General features: G+C 40.8%; 1 long non-coding RNA gene across 11 annotated transcripts in view; it reads left to right on the forward strand.

Annotated features, from left to right (window-relative positions):
* Nucleotides 1–27,838, forward strand: part of LOC107985664 (uncharacterized) — a 270,484-nt gene that overhangs the window by 87,144 nt on the left and 155,502 nt on the right. For 6 of the 11 annotated variants that reach the window (XR_007068273.1, XR_001755894.2, XR_001755892.2 and 3 more), the window contains one exon: nucleotides 14,431–14,618. This is a non-coding gene — a long non-coding RNA (uncharacterized LOC107985664). Of the gene's footprint in view, nucleotides 1–1,578; nucleotides 1,715–14,430; nucleotides 15,689–27,838 lie in introns of those variants that run through there. The other 5 variants (XR_007068272.1, XR_001755893.2, XR_007068270.1 and 2 more) reach the window with 3 other exon arrangements.

The raw sequence follows: 27,838 nt of genomic DNA on the forward strand, positions 1-27,838 counted from the left end.
ACCTGTTGGTCCTAATACGCTAAGCTCAGGGGATTCCAGGCTGATCTTGTAGGTACTTTAGAGGAAGCAAATAGGTTTGGGCCTAGGAATGAAGTAAGAGTCAGATCAGTGCTTCAGAAAAAATGATTTTTGATATTTAGCCTTAAAAAAGAATGAAATTCTGCCATTTGCAACAACATAGATGAACCTGGAGGACATTATGCTAAGTGAAATAAGCTGGGCAAAGAAAGACAAATACTGCATGTTCTCACTTATATGTGCAATCTAAAATAATTGAACTCATAGAAGCAGAGAGTTGAATGGTGGTTCTCAGAGGGTGGGGATAGGGTAAATAGGAGATATGGGTCAAAGGATACAAAGTTACAGTTAGACAGGAAGAATAAATGACAAGTATTTAAGATGAAAAAAGGTAAGTGAAATTTCTTACTTTTATTATGGTCACTCTTACAATTTTTTAAAAAAAATTCACCTTGTAAAACCATTCATTCAAATGTTTTTATAGGCCCAGCCAAGACCTGATAATGTTTATAATATAAGCTCTAAATTAAAATTGTAAGATGTTATGTTTTTGAACTCCTTCCAAGGGAGTATTCCTGAGTAATATTATTCATTTACTGTTACTTATAAAGACTAAAAGTTTTACCTGCTCATAAAAAAAGAAAAAAAGTCTGGAATAATGTAAAGTTCAACTTCATGGTATCTCTGAATGCCTCATCCAGGGGAAAGGATTTCAGCATGGACTGAAGAACTCATGTGAAATATGGGAAGAAGTTTTTTCCAGGTACAGGATCTTTCTGAGAAGAGCCAATAGCCAAATAATAGAATGTGTGAGGGATATGTTGGGAGCTAGCAAGTAGGATAATGCTGTTCTATTTTCTGGAAAAAGTCAAATGTTCATCAGAGATTTGAGTATATTCTGTGGTTAATGGGATTAAAATTTTGTAAGTATGTTTGTGGTACAATGCTGAATGATGTTGATTTGTGATTGAAAAATATCACTGGGACAGCAGTGTAGGGGGTTGAATGAAGACTGTGAATCAGTCATCAGGGAAACAGACTCTTATTTTAGAGATAGAGTTAATATAGACTGTCCCCTGCCTGGATTAGGGACAAAGAATGCAGTAGCCTTGCCTGGTACAGTAATGTCTATATGAATGAGCCTTCTCAACCATAGTGCTGCTTCAGGTCACAGCACTAGGGCCTCTTGCTATGCTCCCCTGTGAGCATAACCACTTATGCATAAGAAAGCCTCTGTCCCCAAGTCTTTCATTTGCTCTTCACTCTTCCCTGAAAGTTCCTCCCAGAGATCTCTTAGCTATTGCTTCTATCTCCTGATTTTTATTTGTCAGAGAGGCCCTCTCTGACCTTTTTTCTTGAATTAAATTCCCTCAACTGGTCCCTCCCACACCCTCTGTAACTCTATATCATTCTTCCCTGTGTTATTTTCTTCTCATGACTTTACCAATGTCTGAAATAATCTTATTTTTATACTCAATTATTCCGCTAGAGGATATAATGGCACTTAACACAAATTACCGTAAAGTGAATATTCTAAGGCAGTGTGTTATGTCTTTGCAGAGCTCTATGGGCTATGTTGAGGAAGCTGCTTACAGACGAAATTGACAGCATGAAGAAAGGTGTGGTCCTTACAAGTATAGGGCCTATATTAATGAAGTAGCCAGGCATAGCTTCAGCCAGGAGACTGAAGCACCAGGTATGCTGGAAGTTGTGCTGTAGTTCACTCAAGTACACATAGAATGTTCCTTTAGGCAGATTAGCTTTCATTTGTTAAACATAACTTACTTATGTCTAACTGACATCTTGACTAACTGATTTAACTAACTGACATTGATGTCTAACTGACTCTTACCCTGGTCAGGACAGTTCAAGGATGATGAGCTCATTGGCTAAACGTGCTGCCTAGATAGATTGGAGGGTGGAATAGAATGAGTTAGGGAACCTAGGTGAGACTGTGTTGGTGTTGTTGGAGGGTATTAACTATGGTGGCATCTCTGGGACCTGACTGTTCGTTGTTTATGAGGTGCTTCAGGAAGAGGTAAGATTTAGTTTTTGATTATGATCTTGGGCCATTAACAGAGGGAGGCCCACATCTGGAGGAGAAGGAGGAGTGGGAGAATGAAGGAAAATACCCAACTTCCAGGGCTGTAAAGTTCAGTGTGAAGTTCTAGGACACATGGGCGGAACATGCAGGTTTGTTACACAGGTATACACGTGCCATGGTGGTTTGCTGCCCGTCATCTACATTAGGTATCTCCTAATGCTACCCTCCCCTAGCCCCCTAACCATGACAGGCACTGGTGTGTGATGTTTCCCTCCCTGTGTCGATATGTTCTCATTGTTCAACTCCCACTTATGCATGAGAACATGCGGTGTTTGACTTTCTGTTCCTGTGTTAGTTTGCTGAGAATGATGGTTTCCAGCTTCATCCATGTCCCTGCAAAGGACGTGAACTCATCCTTTTTTATGGCTGCATAGTATTCCATGATGTATATGTGCCATATTTTCTGTATCCAGTCTATCTTGATGGGCATTTGGGTTGGTTCCAAATCTTTGCTATTCTGAATACTGCTGAAATAAACATACGTGTCCATGTGTCTTTACAGTAGAATGATTTATAATCCTTCGGGTATATACCCAGTAATGAGATTGCTGAGTCAAATGGTATTTCCGGTTCTAGATCCTTGGGGGATTGCCACACTGTATTCCACAATGGTTGAACTAATTTACACTCCCACCAACAGTGTAAAAGTGTTCCTATTTCTCCACATCCTCTCCAGCATCTGTTGTTTCCTGACTTTTTAATGACCACCATTCTAACTGGTGTTAAATGGTATCTCATTTTGGTTTTGATTTTCATTTCTCTAATGATCAGTGATGATGAGCTTTTTTTCATATGTTTGTTGGCCACATAAATGTCTTGTTTTGAGAAGTGTCTGTTTATATCCTTCACCCACTTTTTGATGGGGTTGTTTTTTTCTTGTAAATTTGTTTAAGTTCTTTGTAGATTCTGGATACTTGTCCTTTGTCAGATAGATAGATTGCAAAAGTTTTCTCCCATTCTGTAGGTTGCCTGTTCACTCTGATGATAGTTTATTTTGCTGTGCAGAAGCTCTTTAGTTTAATTGTATCCCATTTGTCAATTTTGGCTTTTGTTGCCATTGCTTTTGGTGTTTTAGTCATGAAGTCTTTGCCCATGCCTATGTCCTAAATGGTCTTGCCTAGGTTTTCTTCTATGGTTCTTATGGTTTTAGGTCTTAGCATTTAAGTCTTTAATCCAACTTGAGTTAATTTTTGTGTAAAGCATAAGGAAGGGGTCCAGTTTCAGTTTTCTGCATATGGCTAGCAAGTTTTCCCAACACCATTTATTAAATAGGAAATCCTATGCCCATTACTTGTTTTTGTCAGGTTTGTCAAAGGTCAGATTGTTGTAGATGTGTGGTGTTATTTATGAGGCCTCTGTTCTGTTCCATTGGTCTATATCTTTGTTTTGGTAGCAGTACCATGCTGTTTTGGTTACTGTAGCCTTCTAGTATAGTTTGAAGTCAGGTAGTGTGATGCCTCCAGCTTTGTTCTTTTGGCTTAGGATTGCCTTGGCGATGCGGGCTCTTTTTTGGTTCCATATGAACTTTAAAGTAGTTTTTTCCAATTCTGTGAAGAAAGTCATTGGTAGCTTTATGGGGATAGCATTGAATGTATACATTACTTTGGGCAGTATGGCCATTTTCATGATATTGTTTATTCCTACCCATTAGCATCGAGTGTTTTTTCATTTGTTTTTGTCCTCTCTTACTTCCTTGAGCAGTGGTTTGTAGTTCTCCTTGAAGAGTTCCTTTACATCCCTTGTAAGTTGTATTCCTAGGTATTTTATTCTCTTTGTAGAATTTGTGAATGGGAGTTCACTCATGATTTGGCTCTCTGTCTTTTATTGGTGTACAAGAATGCTTGTGATTTTTGCACATTGATTCTGTATACTGAGATGTCAGCTCTGGACCAAGCCGACCTAATAGACCTCTAAAGCACTCTCCACCCCAATCAACAGAGCATACATTCTTCTCAGCACCACATCACACTTTTCCTAAAATTGACCACATAATTGGAAGTAAAACACTCATCAGCAAATGCAAAAGAAGAGAATCATAACAAACAGTCTCTCAGACCACAGTGCAATCAAATTAGAACTCAGGATTAAGAAACTCATTCAAAACTGCACAACTACATGGAAACGGAACAACCTGGTCCTGAATGACTACTGGGTAAATAGCGAAATTAAGGCAGAAATAAATAAGTTCTTTGAATTCAATAACAAAGACAAAACGTACCAGAATCTCTGGGACACAGCTAAAGCAGTGTTTAGAGGAACATTTACAGCACTAAATCCCCCACAGGAGAAACTGGGAAAGATCTAAAATTGACACCTTAACATCACAGTTAAAGAAAACTAGAGAAGCAAGAGCAAACAAATTCAAAAGTTAGCAGAAGACAAGGAATAACTGAAATCAGAGCAGAATTGAGGAATATAGAGACATGAAAAACGCTTCAAAAAATCAATGAATCCAGGACCTGATTTTTTCTAAAAGATTGACAAAATAGACCACTAGCCAGAATAATAAAGAAGCAAAGAGAGAAGAATCAAATAGCCACAATAAAAAATGATAAAGGGGATATCACCACTGATCCCCTAGAAATGGTACAGACTACCATCAGAGAATATTATAAACACCTCTATGTGAATAAACTAGAAAATCTAGAAGAAATGGATAAATTCCTGGACACATACACCGTGCCAAGACTAAACCAGGAAGATGTTGAATCCCTGAATAGACCCATGACAAATTCTGAAATTGAGGCAGTAATTAACAGCCTACCCGCCAAAAAAAGCACAGTACTAGATGGATTCACAGCCAAATTCTACCAGAGGTACAAAGAGGAGCTGGTACCATTTCTTCTGAAACTGTTCCAAACATTAGAAAAAGAGGGACTCCTCCCTAACTCATTTTTTAAAGCCAGGATCATTCTGATAGCAAAACCTGGCAGAGACACAACAACAACAACAGAAAATCTCAGGCCAATATCCCTGATGAACATTAATGTGAAAGTCCTCAATAAAATGCTGGCAAACCGAATCCAGCAGCATATGAAAAGGCTTATCCACCATGATCAAGTCGGCTTCATGTCTGGGATGCAAGGCTGGTTCAACATATACAAATCAATAAATGTAATCTAGCACATAAACAGAACCAATGACAAAAACCACATGATTATATCAATAGATGCAGAAAAAGCCTTCCATAAAATTCAATACCCCTTCATGCTAAAAACTCTCAATAAACTAAGTATTGATGGAATGTATCTCAAAATAAAAAAGAGCTATTTATGACAAACCCACAGCCAATATCATACTGAATGCGCAAAAGCTGGAAGCATTCCCTTGAAAACTGGCACAAGCCAAGGATGCCTTCTCTCACCACTCTTATTCAACATAATACTGGAAGTTCTGGCCGGGGCAATCAGGCAAGAGAAAGAAATAAAGGGTATTCAGTTAGGAAAGGAGGAAGTCAAATTGTCCCTGTTTGCAGATGACATGATTGTATATTTAGAAAACCCCATCATCTCAGCTCAAAATCTCTTTAAGCTGATAGGCAAAGTTGAGTTCTTACTCTACAAAAGACCCTGTGAAGTGAACAGTAAAACAAGCTACAGACTGGGAGAAAATATTTATAAAACAAATATCTCACAAAGGAATAATTTCCAGAATATTTAAAGAACTCTCATTACTTAATAGTAAAAGCAAACTATCTGAGAATAAAATATGGAAAGACATGAACAATACTTTACCAAAGAGGATATACAAATGGCAAATGAGCATATGAAAAGATGTTCAAAATTATTCGCCATTTCGGAAATGCAAATTAAAGCCATGATGGGATATCACTACACATATATGAGAATAACTAAAATTAAAAATAATTGAGACAACACCAAATGCTAGTGTGGATGAGGAGAAACTGGATTACACATACAATGCTTTTCGGGTTGTAAAATTGTGCAGCCAGTTTGGAAAACAGTTTGGTAATTTCTTACAAAACTAAACAAAAAACTGCTATATGAGGGGGTGGAGCCAAGATGGCCAAATAGGAACATCTCCAGTCTACAGCTCCCAGTGTGAGCGATGCAGAAGATGGGCGATTTCTGCGTTTCCAACTGAGGTACCGGGTCCATCTCACTGGGGAGTATTGTACAGTGGGTGCAGGACCGTGGGTGCAGCACACCGAGCGTCAGCTGAAGCAGGGTGAGGCATTGCCTCACCCGGGAAGCACAAGGGGTCAGGGAATTCCCTTTCCTAGTCAAAGAAAGGGGTGACAGATGGCACCTGGAAAATCGGGTCACTCCTACCCTAATACTGTGTTTTTCCAATGGTCTTAGCAAACGGCACACCAGTAGATTATATCCCACACGTGGGTCGGAGGGTCCTACGCCCACGGAGCCTCACTCATTGCTAGCACAGCAGTCTGAGATCAAACTGCAAGGCAGCAGCGAGGCTGGGGGAGGGGCGCCCGCCATTGCTGAGGCTTGAGTAGGTAAACAAAGTGGCTAGGAAGCTCGAAGTGGGTGGAGCCCACCGCAGTTTCAAGGAGGCCTGCCGACCTCTGTAGACTCCACCTCTGGGGGCAGGGCATAGCCAAACAAAAGGCAGCAGAAAACTCTGCAGACTTAAATGTTCCTGTCTGACAGATTTGAAGAGAGTAGTGGTTCTCCCAGCATGCAACTGGAGATCTGAGAACTCACAGGCTGCCTCCTCAAGTGGGTCCCTGAACCCTGAGTAGCCTAACTGAAAGGCACCGACCAGTAGGGGCAGACTGACACCTCACACGGCCGGGTACTCCTCTGAGACAAAACTTCCAGAGGAAGGATCAGGCAGCAACATTTGCTGTTCACCAACATCCACTGTTCTGCAGCCTCTGCTGCTGATACCAAGGGAAACAGGGTCTGGAGTGGACTTCCAGCAAACTCCAACAGACCTGCAGCTGAGGATCCTGACTGTTAGGAAAACTAGCAAACAGAAAGGACATCCGCACCAAAACCCCATCTGTACATCACCATCATCAAAGACCTAAGGTAGATAAAACCACAAAGATGGGGAAAAAACAGCAGAAAAACTGGAGACTCTAAAAATCAGAACACCTCTCCTCCTCCAAAGGAATGCAGCTCCTCACCAGCAATGTAACAAAGCTGGACAGAGAATGACATTGATGAGTTCAGAGAAGAAGACTTCAGACGATCAAACTACTACGAGCTAAAAGAGGAAGTTTGAACCCAAGGCAAAGAAGTTAAAAACCTTGAAAAAAAATAGAGGAATGGCTAACTAGAATAAGCAATGCAGAGAAATCCTTAAAGGAATTGACGGAGCTGAAAAACCACGGCACGAGAACTACATGACGAATGCACAAGCCTCAGTAACTGATGTGATCAACTAGAAGAAAGGGTATCAGTGATGGAAGATAAAATGAATGAAATGAAGCGAGAGAGAGGTTTAGAGAAAAAAGAATAAAAAGAAACGAACAAAGCCTCCAAGAAATATGGGACTATGTGAAAAGACCAAATCTACGTCTGATTGGTGTACCTGAAAGTGACAGGGAGAATGGAACCAAGTTGGAAAACACTCTGCAGGATATTATCCAGGAGAAGTTCCTCAATCTAGCAAGGCAGGCCAACATTCAGATTCAGGAAATACAGAGAATGTCACAAAGATACTCCTCGAGAAGAGCAACCCCAAGGCACATAATTGTCAGATTCACCAAAATTGAAATGAAGGAAAAAATGTTAAGGGAAGCCAGAGAGAAAGGTCGGGTTACCCACAAAGGGAAGCCCATCAGACTAACAGCGGATCTCTCCGCAGAAACTCTACCAGCTAGAAGACAGTGGGGACCAATATTCAACATTCTTAAAGAAAAGAATTTTCAACCCAGAATTTCATATCCAGCCAAACTAAGCTTCATAAGTGAAGGAGAAATAAAGTCCTTTACACACAAGCAAATGCTGAGAGATTTTGTCACCACCAGGCCTGCCCTACAAGACCCCCTGAGGGAAGCACTAAACATGGAAAGGAACAACCAGTACCGGCCACTGCAAAAGCATGCGAAATGGTAAAGACCATCGAGGCTAGGAGGAAACTTCAACAACTAACGACAAAACAACCAGCTACCATCATAATGACAGGATCAAATTTACACATAACAATATTAACATTAAATGTAAATGGGCTAAATGCTCCAATTCAAAGACACAGACTGGCAAATTGGATAGAGTCAAGACCCATCAGTGTTCTGTATTCAGGAAACCCATCTGACGTGCAGAGACACACATAGGCTCAAAATAAAAGGATGGAGGAAGATCTACCAAGCAAATGGAAAACAAAAAAAGGCAGGGGTTGCAATCCTAGTCTCTGATAAAACAGACTTTAAACCAACAAAGATCAAAAGAGACAAAGAAGGCCATTACATAATGGTAAAGGGATCAATTCAACAAGAAGAGCTAACTATCCTAAATATATATGCACCCAATACAGGAGCACCCAGATTCATAAAGCAAATCCTTAGAGACCTACGAAGAGACTTAGACTCCCACACAATAATAATGGGAGACTTTAACACCCCACTGTCAATATTAGACAGATCAATGAGACAGAAAGTTAACAAGGATATCCAGGAACTGAACTCAGCTCTGCACCAAGCGGACCTAATAGACATCTGCAGAGCTCCCCACCCCAAATCAACAGAATATACATTCTTTTCAGCACCACACCACACCTATTCCAAAATTGACCACATAGTTGGAAGTAAAGCTCTCCTCAGCAAATGTAAAAGAACAGAAATTATAACAAACTATCTCTCAGACCACAGTGCAATCAAACTAGAACTCAGGATTAAGAAACTCACTCAAAGCCGCTCAACTACATGGAAACTGAACAACCTGCTCCTGAATGACAACTGGGTATATAACGAAATGAAGGCAGAAATAAGGATGTTTTTTGAAACCAAAGAGAACAAAGGCGCAACATACCAGAATCTCTGGGACACATTCAAAGCAGTGTGTAGAGGGAAATTTGTAGCACTAAATGCCCACAAGAGAAACCAGGAAAGATCTAAAATTGACAACCTAACATCACAATTAAAAGAACTAGAGAAGCAAGAGCAAATACCTTCGAAAGCTAGCAGAAGGCAAGAAATAACTAAGATCAGAGCAGAACTGAAGGAAATAGAGACACAAAAATCCCTTCAAAAAATCAATGAATCCAGGAGCTGGTTTTTTGAAAAGATCAACAAAATTGACAAACCGCTAGCAAGACTAATAAAGAAGAAAAGAGAGAAGAATCAAGTAGCCACAAAAAGAAATGATAAAGGGGATATCACCACTGATCCCACAGAAGTACAAACTACCATCAGAGAATACTATAAACACCTCTATGCAAATAAACTAGAAAATCTAGAAGAAATGGATAAATTCCTTGACACATACACCCTCCCAAGACTAAGCCAGGAAGAAGTTGAATCTCTGAATAGACCAATAAGAGGCCCTGAATTTGGGGCAATACTTAATAGCTTACCAACCGAAAATTCCAGGACCAGATGGATTCACAGCCGAATTCTACCAGAGGTACAAAGAGGAACTGGTACCATTCCTTCTGAAACTATTCCAATCAATAGAAAGAAAGGGAATCCTCCCTAACTCATTTTATGAGGCCAGCATCATCCTGATACCAAAGCTGGGCAGAGACACAACAAAAGAGAATTTTAGACCAATATCCCTGATGAACATCGTTGCAAAAATCCTCAATAAAATACTGGAAAACCAAATCCAGCAGCACATCAAAAAGCTTATCCACCATGATCAAGTGGACTTCATCCCTGGGATGCAAGGGTGGTTCAACATACACAAATCAATAAATGTAATCCAGCATATAAACAGAACCAAAGACAAAAACCACATGATTATCTCAATACATGCAGAAAAGGCTTTTGACAAAATTCAACATCCCTTCATGCTAAAAACTCTCAATAAATTAGGTATTGATGGGAAATATCTCAAAATAATAAGAGCTATCTATAACAAACCCACAGCCATTATCATACTGAATGGGCAAAAACTGGAAGCATTCCCTTTGAAAACTGGCACAAGACAGGGATGCCCTCTCTCACCACTCCTATTCAACATAGTGTTGGAAGTTCTGGCCAGGGCAATCAGGCAGGAGAAGGAAATAAAGTGTATTCAATTAGGAAAAGAGGAAGTCAAATTGTCCCTGTTTGCAGATGACATGATTGCATATCTATAAAACCCTATCGTCTCAGCCCAAAATCTCCTTAAGCTGATAGGCAACTTAGCAAAGTCTCAGGATACAAAATCAATGTGCAAAAATCACAAGCATTCTTACACATCAATAACAGTCAAACAGAGAGCCAAATCATGAGTGAACTCCCATTCACAATTGCTTCAAAGATAATAAAATACTTAGGAATCCAACTTACAAGTGATGTGAAGGACCTCTTCAAGGAAAACTACACACCACTGCTCAATGAAATCAAAGAGGATACAAAGAAATGGAAGAACATTCCATGCTCATGGGTAGGAAGAGTCAATATCATGAAAATGGCCATACTGCTCAAGGTAATTTATAGATTCAATGTCATCCCCATCAAGCTACCAATGACTTTCTTCACAGAATTGGAAAAAACTACTTTAAAGTTCATATGGAACCAAAAACGAGCCTGCATTGCCAAGTCAATCCTAAGCCAAAAGAACAAATCTGGAGGCATCACACTCCCTGACTTCAAACTATACTACAAGGCTACAGTAACCAAAACAGCATGGTACTGGTACCAAAACAGAGATATAGACCAATAGAAGAGAACAGAGCCCTCAGAAATAATGCCACATATCTACAACTATCTGATCTTTGACAAACCTGAGAAAAACAAGAAATGGGGAAAGGATTCCCTATTTAATAAATGGTGCTGGGAAAACTGGCTAGCCACATGTAGAAAGCTGAAATTGGATCCCTTCCTTACACCCTATACAAAAATTAATTCAAGATGGATTAAAGAATTAAAAGTTAGACCTAAAACCATAAAAACCCTAGAAGAAAACCTAGGCAATACCATTCAGGACATGGGCATGGGTAAGGACTTCATGACTAAAACACCAAAAGCAATGGCAACAAAAGCCAAAATTGACAAATGGGATCTAATTAAATTAAAGAGCTTCTGCACAGCAAAAGAAACTACCATCAGAGTGAACAAGCAACCTACAGAATGGGAGAAAATTTTTGCAGTCTAGTCATCTGACAAAGGGCTAATATCCAGAATCTACAGTGAACTGAAACAAATTTACAAGAAAAAAACAAACAACCCCATCAAAAAGTGGGCAAAGAATATGAACAGACACTTCTCAAAAGAAGACATTTATGCAGCCAAAAGACACATGAAAAAATGCTCATCGTCACTGGCCATCAGAGAAATGCAAATCAAAACCCGAATGAGACACCATCGCACACGAGTTAGAGTGGTGGTCATTAAAAAGTCAGGAAACAACAGGTGCTGGAGAGGATGTGAAGAAATAGGAACACTTTTACACTATTGGTGGGACTGTTAACCAGTTCAACCATTGTGGAAGTCAGTGTGGCGATTCCTCAGGGATCTAGAACTAGAAATACCATTTGACCCAGCCATTCCTTTACTGGGTATATACCTAAGGTATTATAAAACATGCTGCTATAAAGTCACATGCACACATATGTTTATTGCAGCGCTATTCACAATAGCAAAGACTTGAAACCAAGCCAAATGTCCAACAGTGATAGACTGGATTAAGAAAATGTGGCACATATACACCATGGAATATTATGCAGCCATAAAAAAGGATGAGTTCATGTCCTTTGTAGGAACATGGATGACGCTGGAAACCATCATTCTCAGCCTATTATCACAAGCGCAAAAAAGCAAACACCACATGTTCTCACTCATATGTGGGAATTGAACAGTGAGATCACATGCACACAGGAAGGGGAACATCACACACCGAGGCCTGTTGTGGGGTTGGGGGAGGGGGTAGGGATAGCATTAGGTGATATACCTAATGTTAAATGAAGAGTTAATGGGTGCAGCACACCAACATGGCATATGTATACATATGTAACAAACCTGCACATTGTGCACATGTACCCTATAACTTAAAAGTTTAATAAAAAACTGCTATATGATCTAGTAATTATATTTTTAGGGATTTATCACAGAGAAATGAAAACATGTTTACACAAAGTCCTGTGCATGAATGTTTGTAGCAACTTTACTTGTCATAACTCCAAATGGGAAACAACCTAGTTGTCCTTCAAAATGCAAATGGTTCAACAAACTGTTGAACCGTTCCATACAATGGAATGAAAAGGAACAAACACAGGACAAGCAGCAACCTGGAGGAATCTTCAGAGAATTATGCTGAGTGAAATGAGGCGGTCCCAAAGATTACACGATGTGTGATTCCGTTTATATTACATTTCTGAAATGACAAAATTATGGAATTGGAGAAACGATTAGTTCTTTCCAGAGGTTAAGAAAGGGGTGGGAGCAGGAAGGAAGTGAGTATAGCTGTAGAAGAGCAACAGGCAGGATCCCTGTGGCGATGGAATATTCTGTATCTCACTATTAATGTGAATTTCCTGGTTGTGATATTGTACTGTAGTTTTGCAAAATTTTACCATTGGGGGAAACTGAATAAAGTGTACACAGGATCTCTGTGTAATCTTTGAATTATTTCTTACAACTGCATGTAACAACTGTCGTTTAAACAGTAAAGATTAATTTAAAATATGTATAACAAGGCCTCTACCCATTTGATTCCTCCATGCAACTCTTTGCGAATTCATTACAAGTTTCTTGTCAGTTGTTGATGGATTGATGAGCCATCTCTTTACGGTGTTGAGGATGGATTTTTGAGAGAATCAGAAAGTGGAACAGGGAAGAGAAATTAGGAGGCTACTTGATTTGCCATGACAGGCATCATAAAAGTAGAATAGACAGATGTCCTTGACTTATGATGACTCAACTTACAGTTTCTCAACTTTCAGTTGCTTTTCTATGTATGATGGGGTTATGTTCAGAAAAATACAGCATTTGTTGAAAATATTGTCAGTCAGACTGTACAGAGGTGGATTGCTGTGCATTATGCGTTTGTGTATGACTGTGTCCAGTGACTGGGAGTAGATCTGGAGGCATCAACACAGGGAATAAACCAGGATGTAGAGGAGAAAGAGGGAAAACCTCTATGCCACTAACTGTAATATTTATTGGAAATCTTCTTTCCATTGTCTCTTAGAGATAAAGGCCAGTCTCAGATATTTCCTGAATAATTCTGGCTCTTGTGATTATTTGTTAGGCAACGCAGCCTCCAGTGTCAGAATTGCTGTACTGCACCTTGAATTATGAAGACACTGCCCAGGTGCAGATTGACAGGGTGTCTTAGGCCATTCTCACATTACTATAAAGAAATACCTAAGACTGGGTAATTTATAAAGAATAGAGGTTTAATTGGCTCATGGTTCTGCAGGCTGTGCAGGAAGCTTGGTGCTGGCATCTGCTTGGCTTCTGAGGAAGCCTCAGGAAACTTATGATCATGTGGAAGGTGAAGGGGAAGCAGGCACGTCTTACATGGCAGGAGCAGGAGTAAGAGGGCGAGGGAGGTGCTACACACTTTTAAACAACTAGATTTCAGGAGAACTGACTCACTATCATGAGAACAGCACCAAGGTGATGGTGCTAAACCACTGTGAGAAATCTACCCCCATGATCTAGTCACCTTCCCACCTCCATCATTGGGGATTACAACTGAACGTGATATATTACAGGGACAGGAGCCAATTACTTACAGGACTAGTTACATCTTCCTGTTTTGAATTGAGACAGATGCAGAGTCAGGTTTCAGGACTTTATCCTGGCTATTGTCGTATTCAGGAAACAGCTGGATCTGATCAAGGTTGTGTATAAAAGACAAGGTGCAGAAACCATTTCAAATAAAGATTGGGTGGGGCTACAGTGCTTATGTTCAGTCTGGGTGTTGAAGGAAATTGATGAATCTTTATGTTGGGTGTTGGGGCTTCCATGCTTCCATACCATACAGACCCCAGTGGTGGAGCTGGGGTATAGAGTGGTATAGCCCTGGCAGCATAATTGGGGTTCATGCCTCTGCCATTGTTGGTGCTGGTCAGGCTGTGGTTTATAATCAGGCCTGGTTGTGTGGCAGAACCCATAAGACAGGTTCATTATGAGGGGTGTCGGATGTCAGATGTACAGACATGTACAAACATTTTTCTTTGTGAAGCTTTGTGGTCTAATATATCTATCCTCTTGTTTGTTGTCACAGATGCTGGAGGGAGTGGAGGAAGAAGTTTAATTACCACATACAGCTCTTCCATATGCAAGGTCTCTGGGGCAAAACTGTCATTCTGTCTGAAGCCAGACCCTCAATGTCAGACTAAGAGAGTCGGATGGAGACTACATCTTCTGTGTGTGTTGCAATGGGAGGACTTCTCTCCACCGAGTTTAGTGAGGGTAAGGTGCCAGGAAAAGTGATCATATTCATTCTTATGTTTGTAAAAGAATGATTGTTCACATATCTCTAAAAAGACCAAAACTGTGTATGTTGCAATGTGAAGACTTCCCCCAACCAAGTTTAGTGAGGGTAAGGTACCTGGAAAAGAGATAATATTCATTCTTATGTCTGTAAAAGAGTGATTGTTCACATATCTCTAGGAAGACCAAAAGCTTCTCCCAGCCAGTGATCTGCTTTTCCCTCTGCATTTATTCCTAGTGGTACTTAATCCAGCTTCCTCTCTCACCCAGGACTTGCTGCCTCCTACATTCTTATCTCTCAGAGACTGCAGGGATAAATGTCCAGCTTCTATGTGCCAGAACCTGGGGCACCAGGGAAGAATCTATACAAAGGCCACAAAAAGCACTAAAGCTCAAGAAAATGAATTCTGATGTCATAGTAGGAAAGAAGATAGGCCATGTTAATCACATGATAATTGAGTGGAGTAAGAGAATTTCCAATCAGAGGCTTCATTGTGTGACTCAGGGGCCGTTTTCAGGGAAATAAGTCATAGTCATTCATAAGGAGCATGAATGGTGTGGAGCTGTGTTTTGTGCTTGAAAGAATAGATGGGAATCAGAACCTGGTGGCCAATGTGTGCTCAGCAGAGATATTTTCTGCTTTATCTCTTTGTCAAAGGGTTGTGGGCAAGAGAGTGAAAGATACATTATAACTTAGATCTGTGGTTTAAAAATATCAGTTTGAGAATGATATATTTTAAAAGATGCATTGGAGGGAGTAAGAAGTGCTAAGTAGGTGAAATACTTTTTAAAATTCTAGGTAAGACATGATAATGTGGAAGTATTAGCCAGTGAGACATTACAGACTTATGGTCTATATGATTTTCTTACTGGATTGTGAGATGGTGAGAGTGATTTCACAGTCAATGCTGAAAGGTATTGGTGCCATTAACAAGAAGGGGAACGACGGGGGATAGGTATGGGAGAAACAACACTTTGTATTACTATATTCCTGTTTTCCTTGGTAGAACTTGAAGCTTATTTCATAAAATTTCTACATTTTTTCCAAACAAGTGTTCTGTTTGTTACATGACCGTGTTAGGCTTTTTGTTTTGTTTTGTTTCTCTTTTTGCTTTTTTGTTTTTGTTTTATTGTTTGTTTTGTTTTATTAATTTTAATTTTTTAATTTTTTTTTATATGTTATTGGGGTACAGGTCTTGTTTGGTTACATGAGTAAGTTCTTTAGTGGTGATTTGTGAGATTTTGGTGCACCCATCACTGGAGCAGTATACACTGCACCATATTTGTAGTCTTTTATCCCTCACACCATTCCCACCCTTCCCCTAAGTCCCCAAAGTCCATGGCATCATTCTTATACCTTTGCGTCCTCATAGCTTAGCTCCCACATATCAGTGAGAATGTATGATGTTTGGTTTTTTAATCCTGAGTTACTTCACTTAGAACTATAGTCTCTAATCTCATCCAGGTCACTGCAAATGCTGTTAATTCATAATTCATTCCTATTTATGGCTGAGTATTATATATATATGCCACAATTTTCTTTATCCACTCATTGATTGATGGGCATTGGGGTTGTTTCCACGATTTTACAATTGAGAATTGTGCTGCTATAAACATGGGTGTGCAAGTATCTTTTTCGAATAATGACTTATTTTCCTCTGGGTAGATACCCAGTAGTGGGATTGCTGGATCAAATGGTAGTTCTACTTTTTGTTCTATAAGGAATCTTCACACTGTTTTCCATAGTGACTGTACTAGTTGACATTCCCACCAGCAGTGTAGAAGTGTTCCTTGATCACTATATCAATGCCAACATCTACTCTTTTTTTTATTTTTTGATTATGGCCATTCTTGCAGGAGTAAAGTGGTATCACATTGTGGTTTTGATTTGCATTTCCCTGATCTTCAGTGATGTTGAGCATTTTTTATATGTTTGGTGGCCATTAGTATATCTTCTTTTGATTATTATCTATTCATGTCCTTAGCCCACTTTTTGATGAGATCGTTTGTTTTTTTCTTGCTGATTTGTTTGACTTCATTGTAGATTCTGGATATTGGGCCTTTGTCAGATGTATAGATTGTGAAGATTTCCTCCCACTTTGTGGGCTGTTTGTTTACTCTGCTGACTGTTCCTTTTGCTGTGCAAAAGCTCTTTAGTTTAATTAGGTCCCAACTATTTATCTTTGTTTTTATTGCATTTCCTTTGGATTCCTGGTCATGAAATCCTTGCTTAAGCCAATACCTAGAAAGGTTTTTCCAGTGTTATCTTCTAAAATATTTATAGCTTCAGGTCTTAGGTTTAAGTTCTTAATCCATCTTGAGTTGATTTTTCTATAAGGTGATAGATAAGGATGCAGTTTCATTCTCCTACATGTGGCTAGCCAAGTATCCCAGCACCATTAGTTGAAAAGGGCGTCCTTATATTTTTGTTTCCTTTGTCAAACATCAGTTGGCTATAAGTATTTGGGTTTATTTCTTTGTTCTCTCTTCTGTTCCATTGGTCTATGTGCCTATTTTTATACCAGTGCTATACTGTTTTGGTACTACGGCCTTATATTATAATTTGAAACCAGGTAGTGTGACGCCTCTAGATTTACTCTTTTTGCTTAATCTTGCTTTGGCTGTGTGGGCTATTTTTTGGTTCCATATGAATTTCAGAATTGTTTTTTCTAGCTCTGTGAAGAATGATGGTTTTATTTTGATGGGGATTGCATTGAATTTGTAGATTGCTTTTGGCAGTATGGTCATTTTCACAACATTGATTCTACCCATCCATGGGCATGGGATGTGTTTCCATTTGTTTGTGTTATCTATGATTTCTTTCAGCAGCGTTTTGTTGTTTTCCTTATAGAGGTCTTTCAACTCCTTGGTTAGGTATATTCCTGAGTATTTTTTTTTTTTTTGCAGCTATTGTAAAAGGGATTGAGTTCTTGATTTGATTCTCAGCTTGGTTACTGTTGGTATATAGAAGAACTACTGATTTGTGTACATTAATCTTGTATCTGGAAACTTTGCTGAATTCTTTTATCAGTTCTAGGAGATTTTTGGAGGAGTCCTTAGGGTTTTCAGGTAAACAAGCATATCTTCAGCAGACAGGGACAGTTTGTCTTCCTCTTTACCAATTTGGATGCCCTTTATTTATTGTTCTTGTCTGATTACTCTGGCTAGGACTTCCAGTACTATGTTGAAGAGGAGTGGTGAGAATGAGCATGCTTGTGTTGTTCCCATTCTCAGAGGGAATGCTTTCAACTTTTCCCCATTCAGTATTATGTTGGCTGTGGGTTTGTCCTAGATGGCTTTTATTATATTAAGGTATGTCCCCTGCATGCCGATTTTTCTGAGGGTTTAATCATATAGGGATGCTGGATTTTGTTGAATACTTTCTCTGCATCTATTGAGATTATCATGTGATTTTTGTTTTTAATTCTGTTTATGTGGTGTATCACATTTATTGACTTGCATATGTTAAATCATCCCTGTTATGAAACCCACTTTATCATGGTGGATTATCTTTTTGATATGTTTTTGGATTTGGTTAGCTAGTGTTTTGTTAAGAATTTTAGCATCTACAGTCCTTAAAGATATCTGTCTGTACTTTTCTTTATTGATTGTGTCCTTTCCTGATTTTGGTATTAGGGTGATGCTGGCTTCATAGAATGAATTAGTGAGGGTTCCTTCTTTTTCTATCTTGTGGAATAGTGTCAAAAGGATTGGCATCAATTCTTCTTTGCATGTCTTGTAGAATTCTGCTGTGAATCTATCTGGTCCTGGACTTTTTTTTGTTGGTAATTTTTAAACTACCATTCCAATCTCACTGTTTGTTATTGGTCTGTTCAGGGTATCAATTTCTTCCTGATTTACACTAAGAGGGTTGTATTTTTCCGGAATTTATCCATCTCTTCTAGGTTTTATAGTTTATGTACATAAAGGTGTTCATAGTAGCCTTAAATGATGTTTTCTGTTTCAGTGGTGTCAGTTGTAATATCTCATATTTCATTTCTTACTGAGGTTATTTGCATTTTTCTCTCTTCTTAGTTAGTCTTGCTAATGGTCTATCCATTTTATTTATCTTTTCAAAGACCAGCTTTTTGTTTCATTTATCTTTTGTGGAGATTTGTTTGTTTGTTTCAGTATCATTTAGTTCTGCTCTGATCTTGGTTATGTCCTTTCTTCTGCTGGGTTTGGGTTTCGTTTATTCTTGTTTCTCCAGTTCCTTGAGGTATGACCTTAGATTGTCTCTTTGTGCTCTTTTGGACTTTTTGATATAGGCGTTTAGGGCTCTGAACTTTCCTCTTAGCACAGCCTTAGCTGTATCCCAGAGGTTTTGATAGGTTGTGTTTTTTGTTTTTATTTATTTTTATTTTTTGAGAGGGAGTCTCGCTCTGTTGCCCAGGCTGGACTGCAGTGGCGCGATCTCAGCTCACTGCAAGCTCCGCCTCCCAGGTTCATGCCATTTTCTTGCCTCAGTCTCGCGAGTAGCTGGGACTACAGGCACCCACCACCATGCCCGGCTAATTTTTTTTTTTTTTCGTATTTTTAGTAGAGACGGGTTTCACCATGTTAGCCAGGATGATCTCAATCTCCTGACCTTGTGATCCACCCGCCTCGGCCTCCCAAAGTGCTGGGATTATAGGCGTGAGCCACTGCGCCTGTCCTAGGTTGTGTTGTTATTGTCATTCAGTTCAAAGAAATTTTTAAATTTCCATCTTGATTTTGTTTGACCCAGTGCTCACTCAGGAGCAAGTTATTTAATATCGATGTATTTGCCTGGTTTTGAAGGTTCCTTTTGGAGTTTATTTCCAGTTTTTTTTCCACTATAGTGAGAGACAGTGCTTGATATAATTTCAATTTTCTTAAATTTATCAAGCCTCCTTTTATGTCCTATTATATGGTCTATCTTGGAGAAAGTTCCATGCATTGTTGAATTGAATGTGTATTCTGTAGTTGTTGGATAAAATGTTCTGTATATATCTGTTAAGTCCATTTGTTACAACGTATAGTTTAAATCCATTGTTTCTTTTTTGACTTTATGTCTTGATTGACCTGTCTACTGCTGTCAGTGAAGTACTGAAGTCCCTCACTATAATTGTATTGCTGTCTATCTCATTTCTTACGTCTATTAGTAATTGTTTTATAAACTTGGGAGGTCCAGTGTTAGGTGCATATATATTTAGGTTTGTGATACTTTCCTGTTGGACAAGGCCTTTTACTATTATATAATGTCCCTCTTTGTCTCTTTCAACTGCCGTGGCTTTAAAGTTTGTTTTGTCTGATATAAGAATAGCTCCCCTGCTCGCTTTTGGTGTCCATTTGCACAAAATGCCTTTTTCCACCCCTTTACTTTAAATTTTTGTGAGTCCTTATGTGTTATGTGAGTCTCCTGAAGGCAGCAGATGATTGGTGAGTTCTTATTCATTCTCCAGTACTGTATCTTCTAAATGGAGCATTTAGGCCATTTACATTCAATGTTAGTATTGAAATGTGAGGTACTGTTGCATTCATCATGCTCTTTGTTGCCTGTGTGCTTTGTTTTGTTTGTTTGTTTTTGCTTTTTAACTTGTATTTTTATTTTATAGGTCCTGTGTGATTTATGCTTTAAAGTCGTTCTGTTTTGATGTGTTTCCAGGATTTGTTTCAAGATTTAGAGCTCCTTTTAGCAGTTCCTGTAGTAGTTGTTTGGTAATAGCAAATTATCTCAGCATTTGTTCATCTGAAAATGACTGTATCTTTCCTTCATATATGATGCTTAGTTTCACGGATACAAAACTCTTGACTGATAATTGTTTTGTTTGAGGAGGCTGAAGATAGGGCCCCAATCCCTTCTGGCTTGTGGGGTTTCTGGCAGAAATCTGCTGTTAATCTGATAGGCTTTCCTGTATAGTTTACCTGGTGCTTCTGTCTCACAGACCTTAAGATTCTTTCCTTTGTCTTAACTTTGGATAACCTGATGACAATGTGCCTAGGTGAAGATCTTTTTGCAATGAATTTCCCAGATGTTCTTTGTGCTTCTTGTAATTGCATGTCTAGGTCTCTAACAAGACCACAGAAGTTTTCCTTGATTATTCCCCCAAATACGTTTTGCAAGGTTTTAGAATTGTCTTCTTTCTCAGGTACACCAGTTATTCTTAGGTTTAGTCATTTAACATAATTCCATACTTCTTGGAGGCTTTGTTCATATTTTCTTATTCTTTTTTCCTTGTCTTTGTTGGATTGGGCTAATTCAAAGACCGTGTCGTTGATCGCTAAATTTCTTTATTCTACTTGTTCAATTCTATTGCTGAGACTTTCCACAGAATTTCGCATATCTAAAAGTGTATTCTGCGTTTCCTGAATTTTTTATTGCTTTTTCTTTAAGCTATCTATTTCCTTGAATATTTCTCCCTTCACTTCTTGTATTATTTTTTTGGATTTCCTTGCGTGGGGCTTTGCCTTTCTCTGGTCCCTCTGTGATTAGCCTAATAACTAACCTCCTGAATTCTTTTTTAGGTAAATGGAGGATTTCTTGTTAGTTTGGATCCACTGTTGGTGAACTAGTGTGATTTTTGGGGGGTGTTAACAAGCTTTGTTTTGTCATATCACCAGGGTTGGTTTTCTTGTTCCTTTTCATTTGGGTAGGCTCTGTCAGAGGGAAGATCTATGTCACGCACATCCATGTGAAGAGAGTCCACCAAGCAGGCTTTGTGTGAGCAATAAAGCTGTTTATTTCACCTGGGTGCAGGAGGGCTGAGTCCAAAAAAGGAGTCAGCAAAGAGAGATAGGGATGGGGCAGTTTTATAGGACTGGAGTAAGCAGTGGAAAGTTACAGTTAAAGGTGGTTATCAATTTTCAGCAGAGGAGGGAGTCACAGGGTTCATGGTAGGGAGATCATAAGACTCATTGCCCAGAAGAATGTCACGAAGTTGATCGATCAGTTGGGGCAGGGCAGGAACAAGTCATAATGGAATGTTGTAAGGTTGGTCAGTCAATTAAGACAGGAGCTGGCTGTTTTACTTCTCTTGTAGTTTTGGGTTGCCCCAGACTTCTTGGCTCCCGCAGGCCATCTGGACATATATGTGCAGGTCACAGGGGTTACAATGGCTGAGCTTCGGCTCAGAGGTCTGACATTCCTGTCTTTTTATTTATAAAATATAAAGTTATAATAAAAGATAAAGAAAATATAAGTTTTACTGGGGATTATTGGTGTAGGGGCGATGTTTCTTGGGACTGCTTAAAGCGTGACCAGGGACTGCATGGACACCTTAAAAAAATTTTATAATGAGTTACAAGGAATAGGAATTTAGGCTGTTGGGAGATCTTGGGGCAGAGGATGGTACCGTGGGGTCGTTAAAAGTAGCATTTGTCGTATAGGATGATTGGTAATGATCTGAATGTGGTTTTGTATGAATTGAGAAACCAAACAGAAGACACAAGGCCTGAATAAGAGAAGGAGAAACACAGGTACCAGGCGACTAAGAATAGGGAGGAGACAAGACACCCAGTTAGAAAGTGTCCAGGTGGATCCACTATAATTATTTGCCTGGCTGCCGAGTTTTTGGGCATCTTTAAGCTTTTGTATGTTGTCATATAGCAGGCTGGATTGTTTTAGATAAAAACAAAATTGTTCATTTAAAAATACACAGAGTCCTCCTTTTTCAGCAGTGAGTAGGTCAAGTCCTTGGCGACTTTGAAGGAGAACTGCAGCTCAGGAGTCAACCTGGGCCTGAAGGACTGATAAAGTTTGTGATTTATCTGTAATGCTAGTAGAAAAGTTATTAGAAAGGCTACAGAAGGCCGTGATAGAAGTTGAAACCCCTGCTATTCCAGCTTCAAGGGCAGTAGTGGAAGCAGAAAGTCCTAAGCCTACAAGTAGAGGGATTAGAGGAATAATTCTTTTTTGTCTGGTTGGTGTCATGCGGGGGACAGGAAGTTGCATGGTCCTATTAGAAAATTGAATTTTGGAAACAAGAAAAACTAGCGTACATGTACCTATCCAATTAGCAGGTAGACATGTAGGTGGAGGAGCTGCAGAGGAAGAAAAGACCTTTGTAAGGCAAAACCGGAAATGTAAAGTGAAAAGATGAGAAGAAGCACCAAAAGAGGTGTCTTGCACCTAGACTCTTAGGGATTTAGTGAGAGCAGCACATGTTAGAGGTTGTAATGGGGATTGATGGGGCAACTGGGTAGAGGGGGAGGTTCTATTTTTATGGTGTATGAGTAAGCTCATAATGTCTATGAGTAACCTTTCACTGCTATTCATGGGGCTGGTTATAAGCAAGCAAGTGGAGGGGCTAGGAGGAGATTCCAAAGAACAAGGGGAAGGTAGCCAAGGATGGAGTGAAATGCAGGGCAAATGTCTTAAAGGAAATGACAGATTCTAAGAGGCGGGCTAGTGGCTTGTAACCCACATGGAAGAGGTTATGAAAGGACGATAGAATGGAATGAGCCTGTGAGGCTGGAAAGAGGTATTTTCCTTGGTCTAAGAACCATTTGCCTTGAGTGGGGAGGGATTTATAGGTGGAAACTTCAGTGGGAGAGTAAGTAGGAGTGACTAATGAGAAAGAGAGAAACTGGCCATGAGGGACAGAAGTAGGAATACTGGCTCCTTCTTTAGCTGTCTTATCAGCATAACTGTTGCCTTGAGCAGTGGGGTCTGAGGTCCTTTGATGGCCTTTGCAGTGAATGGCTCCACCTTCCTTTGGAAGTAAAGCGTCCTTGCGAAGGGTTTTTATTAAAGAGGCATTAATGATGGAGGACCCTTGCTCACTAGGAAACTTCTTTCAGCCCGTATGGTGGTGCAGGACGTCAGAGGCATATTTAAAGCCAGTATAAATATTGACACGCAATCCTTTTGCAAGAGTGAGGGCTCAAGTTAAGGCAATGAGTTAGGCTTGCTGAGAGGTAGTGGAGTGGACCAGAGCGGTAGCCTCAATGATAGATGTATAAGATACTATATCATAGCCTGCCTTTGCTGGTGAGTGGCGATTAGGCCTGGTGGAACTGCCATCAATAAACCACGTGTGATCAGGGTAAGGAGAAGGATAAAAGGAAATATGGGGAAATGGAGTGAATGCCAGCTGGATCAGAGAGATATAGTCATGGGGGTCAGGTGAGGTATCAGGAATAATGTGGAGGCCAGCCTAAAACAGTAAGGTCAAGTTGTTTTGACAGAAAGGCTACAGGGCGCGGTCCCGGCTCTTTTGTAAGAATTCCTACCGCACAGCCCTGCACTTCGGCTTTGTGTAATGAAAAAGGGTTGGGATGAGTTAGGGAGAGCTAGTGTGGGAGCAACTTCTAGGGCTGTTTTTAAGTAATGGAAAGAGGAGTGGGGAAAGGATTTAGGATCTATGGGGTCAGCTAGGTTTTCCTTTGTGAGTTTATAAATGGTTTTGTTAGGATGGCAAAACCAGTTATCCAAAGGTTGAAGTGTCCAACCATGCCCAGGAAGGAAAGCAGTTGTTGCTTTGTAGAAGGTGTTGGGGTTTGATAGATCAGCTGGACATGATCGGCAGGGAGGGCATGCATGTTTTCAAGAAGAATTATGCCGAGGCAGTTAACAGATGTGGAAGAAATTTGAGCTTTGGAGGGGGATACCCATTATCTTTGGAAAATAAATGCTGAAGGGTATCTTGTTGAAAAGACTCAAAGGAGGGACTACAGAGTAGAAGGTCATCAATATATTGAATAAGGTGAGAAGCATAGGGGTGGAAAGAAAGTAAATCATGAGAAAGAGCTTGGCTGAAGTGATGGGGGCTGTCCCAGAAGCCTTGAGGCAGTACAGCCCAGGTAAGCTGCTGGGACTGATGGGTGTCAGGATCAGTCCAGGTAAAAGCAAAGAGAGGCTGGGATGAAGGGTCTAAAGGAATAGTAAAGGAAGCATGTTTGAGATCCAGAACAGAATAATGGGTTGTACAGGGAGGTACTGAGGATAGGAGAGTATATGGGCTTGGCACCAAAGGGTGGATAGGCAAGACAATTTGGTTGATAAGGCGAAGATCCTGGACCAGCCTGTAAGAATGGCCAGTTTTTGGACAGTTAGGATAGGAGAGTTGTAAGGAGATTTTGTAGGCTTTAAGAGGCCATGTTGTAACAGGCGGGTAATAACAGGCTTTAAGCTTTTTAAAGCCTGCTGTGGGATGGGGTATTAGCGTTGAGCAGGGTAAGGGTAAAGGTTTTAGTAGGCGTGTGGTAGATTGCCAGAGAGGGAGTAGAGATATCCCATATTTGTGGGTTCAGGTGGGGGGATACAAGAGGAAGATGCAAAGGAGGCTTTAAACTGGGGGAAAGAGAGGCAATGAGGTGTGGCTGTAGCCTAGGAATAGTCAGGGAAGCAGATATTTTAAGATGTCTCGACCTAACAAGGGAGCTGAGCAGGTGGGAATAACTAAAAAGGAGTGCATAAAAGAATATTGTCCAAGTTGGCACCAAAGTTGGGAAGTTTTAAGAGGTTTAGAATCCTGGCTGTCAGTACCCACAACATTTATGGAGGCAAGGGAAACAGGCCCTTGAAAAGAAGGTAATGTGGAGTGGGTAGCCTCCTTATTGATTAAGAAGAGGATGGACTTACCCTCCACTGTAAGAGTTAGCCAAAGTGTCTGTGATGGTCCAGGAGGCTTCCAAGGCAATCAGGCAGTGTCAGTCTTCAGCTACTAAGCCGAGAAGATCTGGGAAGGAGTCAGTCAGAGAGCCTTGAGCCAGAGTTCCAGGGGCTCTGGGAGTGGCTGCTGGGTGAGTTGGACAGTCCAATTTCCAGTGGGGTCCCACACAAATGGGACATGGCTTAGGAGGAATCCTGCACTGCGGGCATTCCTTGGCCCAGTGGCCAGATTTCTGGCACTAGAAGCAAGATCCTGTGGGAGGAGGTCCTGGAGGAATGCCTGGCTGCTACAGTTTAGGCATTTTGAAGTTCTTGTGTGCTGGAGATGTGGCTGGCGTTTCTCATACAGGGGAGGCAAGTAATTGCAACTCAGAAATACGTTGCCATTTGGCTGCCTCTTGTCTGTTATTGTACACCTTGAAGGCGAGGTTAATTAAGTCCTTTTGTGGGGTTTTAGGGCTGGAATCTAATTTTTGGAGCTTTATTTCGGGAACGGATTGGGTAATAAAATGCATATTGAGAATAATGCGGCCTTCTGGCCCCTCTGGGTCTAGGGTGGTAAAGCATTTAAGGGTTGTTGCCAAACAGGCCATGAACTGGGCTGGGTTTTCATATTTCATGAAAAAGAGCCTAAACACTAACTGATTTGGGAGAAGTCAGATAAAGAAAAAGGAACACTAACCTTGACTATGCCTTCAGCTCCAGCCACCTCTGTAAGAGGAAATTGTTGGGCAGGTTGGGGGAGGGCTAGTCACAGAATGAAACTGTAAGCCGGACTGGTTGTGAGGAGGGGAAGTGATAGAGGGATTATATGGTGGGGGAGCGGATGCTGAGGAAGAATTGGGACCTGGCTTGGCCTGGCAAGGAGCAGCCTGGGGAGGAGGGGAGAGGTCAGATGAGTCCATAGCAAAGGAGGATTCAAAGGACTCAGAGCTTGGGGTGAAGGGCAGACAGGAGAGAAAGAAGAAAGATTTGGGATGAGTCGCATTGGGAGCAGAGACTAGGGAGGGACAAATGTGTAAAAGAATGCCTGGATGTCAGGCATCTCAGACTATTTGCCCATTTTTCGACAAAAATCATCCAGGTCTTGTAAGATGGAGAAATCAAAAGTGCCATTTTCTGAACATTTGGAACCACTGTTGAGTTTGTGTTTGGGCCTAGCGGTATTGCAGAAGAAAATAAGACGTTTAGGTTTTAGGTCAGGTGTTGGTTGAAGGGGTTTTAGGTTTTTAAGAACACAGGCTAAGGGAGAAGAAGAGGGAATTGAGGGTAGAAGGTTGCCCGTAGTGAAGGAGGCAAGCCCAGAGAAAAGAGAGGGTAGAGACATGGAGGTGGGTGGTGGTACTTGCCACCCAGGGGAGTTTTTATGGACTCTAGTACTGGATTATTCACTAAGGTGAAGAATCAAGGCAGGCGTCCCCGTGGTGATCAGACACCTCTGAAATGTGGGTGAATAATCAGGCAGGGGTCCCCGCAGTGATTAGGCACCAAGGGAAGACTGTCTTCCCGAGTCCGTGACTGGCACCGGAGTTTTGGGTCCACAGATAAAATGTGTCTCCTTTATCTCTACTAGAGAGGAAAAAGAACTGGAATTGGAAGGACAGGGTGATTGAAGGGTAGCGAGAGAGGCTGGAGAAGGGAGTGAAAAGACTGTTTACCTGATTTGAAATTGATGAGATGTTCCTTGGGCTGGTTGGTCTGAGGACCTGAAGTCATAGATGTATCTCCTCACGAAGTGAGGGCGAGGATGGGAACGGTCTCCCGAAGGAGTCCTCCTGTCCCAGGTCTTTGGCACCAAATGTCATATGCGTCCGTGTGAAGAGAGTCCACCAAACAGGCTTTCTGTGAGCAATAAAGCTGTTTATTTCACCTGGATGCAGGTGGGCTGAGTCCGAAAAAGGAGTCAGCAAAGGGAGATAGGGGTGGGGCAGTTTTATAGGACTGGGGTAAGCAGTGGAAAGTTACAGTCAGCAGAGGAGGGAGTCACAAGGTGCATGGTGGGGAGATCATAAGACTCATTGCCCAGAAGAAGAATGTCACGAGGTTGATCAATCAGTTGGGGCAGGGCAGGAACAAGTCATAATGGAATGTTGTAAGGTTGGTCAATCAGTTAAGACAAGAGCTGGCTGTTTTACTTCTTCTGTAGTTTTGGGTTGCCCCAGACTTCTTGGCTCTTGCAGGCCATCTGGACATATATGTGCAGGTCACAGGGGTTACAATGGCTGAGCTTCGGCTCAGAAGCCTGACAGTCTAGGGCTGAAGGCTGTTGTTCAGGATTTTTTGTCCCACGGATTGTTCCCTTGATGTTGTACTCTCCCCGTTTTTCTGTGGATGTGGCTTCCTGTGAGCCGAACTGCAGTGCTTGTTGTTTCTCTTCTGGATCTAGCCACCCAGTGAGTCTACCCAGCTCTGGACTGGTACTGGGGTCTGCACAGAGTCCTGTGATGTGAACTCTCTATGGGTCTCTCACCTGTAGATATCAGTGCCTGTTCTGGTGGAGGTGGCAGAAGGTGCAGTGGACTTTGTGAGGGTCCTTAACTTTGGTGGTTTAATGCTCTATTATTGTGCTGGTTGTCTCCTGCCAGGAGGTAGTGCTTTCCAGATAGCATCAGCTGTAGTACTGTGG

This window comes from Homo sapiens, chromosome X (genome assembly GCF_000001405.40).
Source record: "Homo sapiens chromosome X, GRCh38.p14 Primary Assembly".
NCBI lineage: Eukaryota > Metazoa > Chordata > Mammalia > Primates > Hominidae > Homo > Homo sapiens.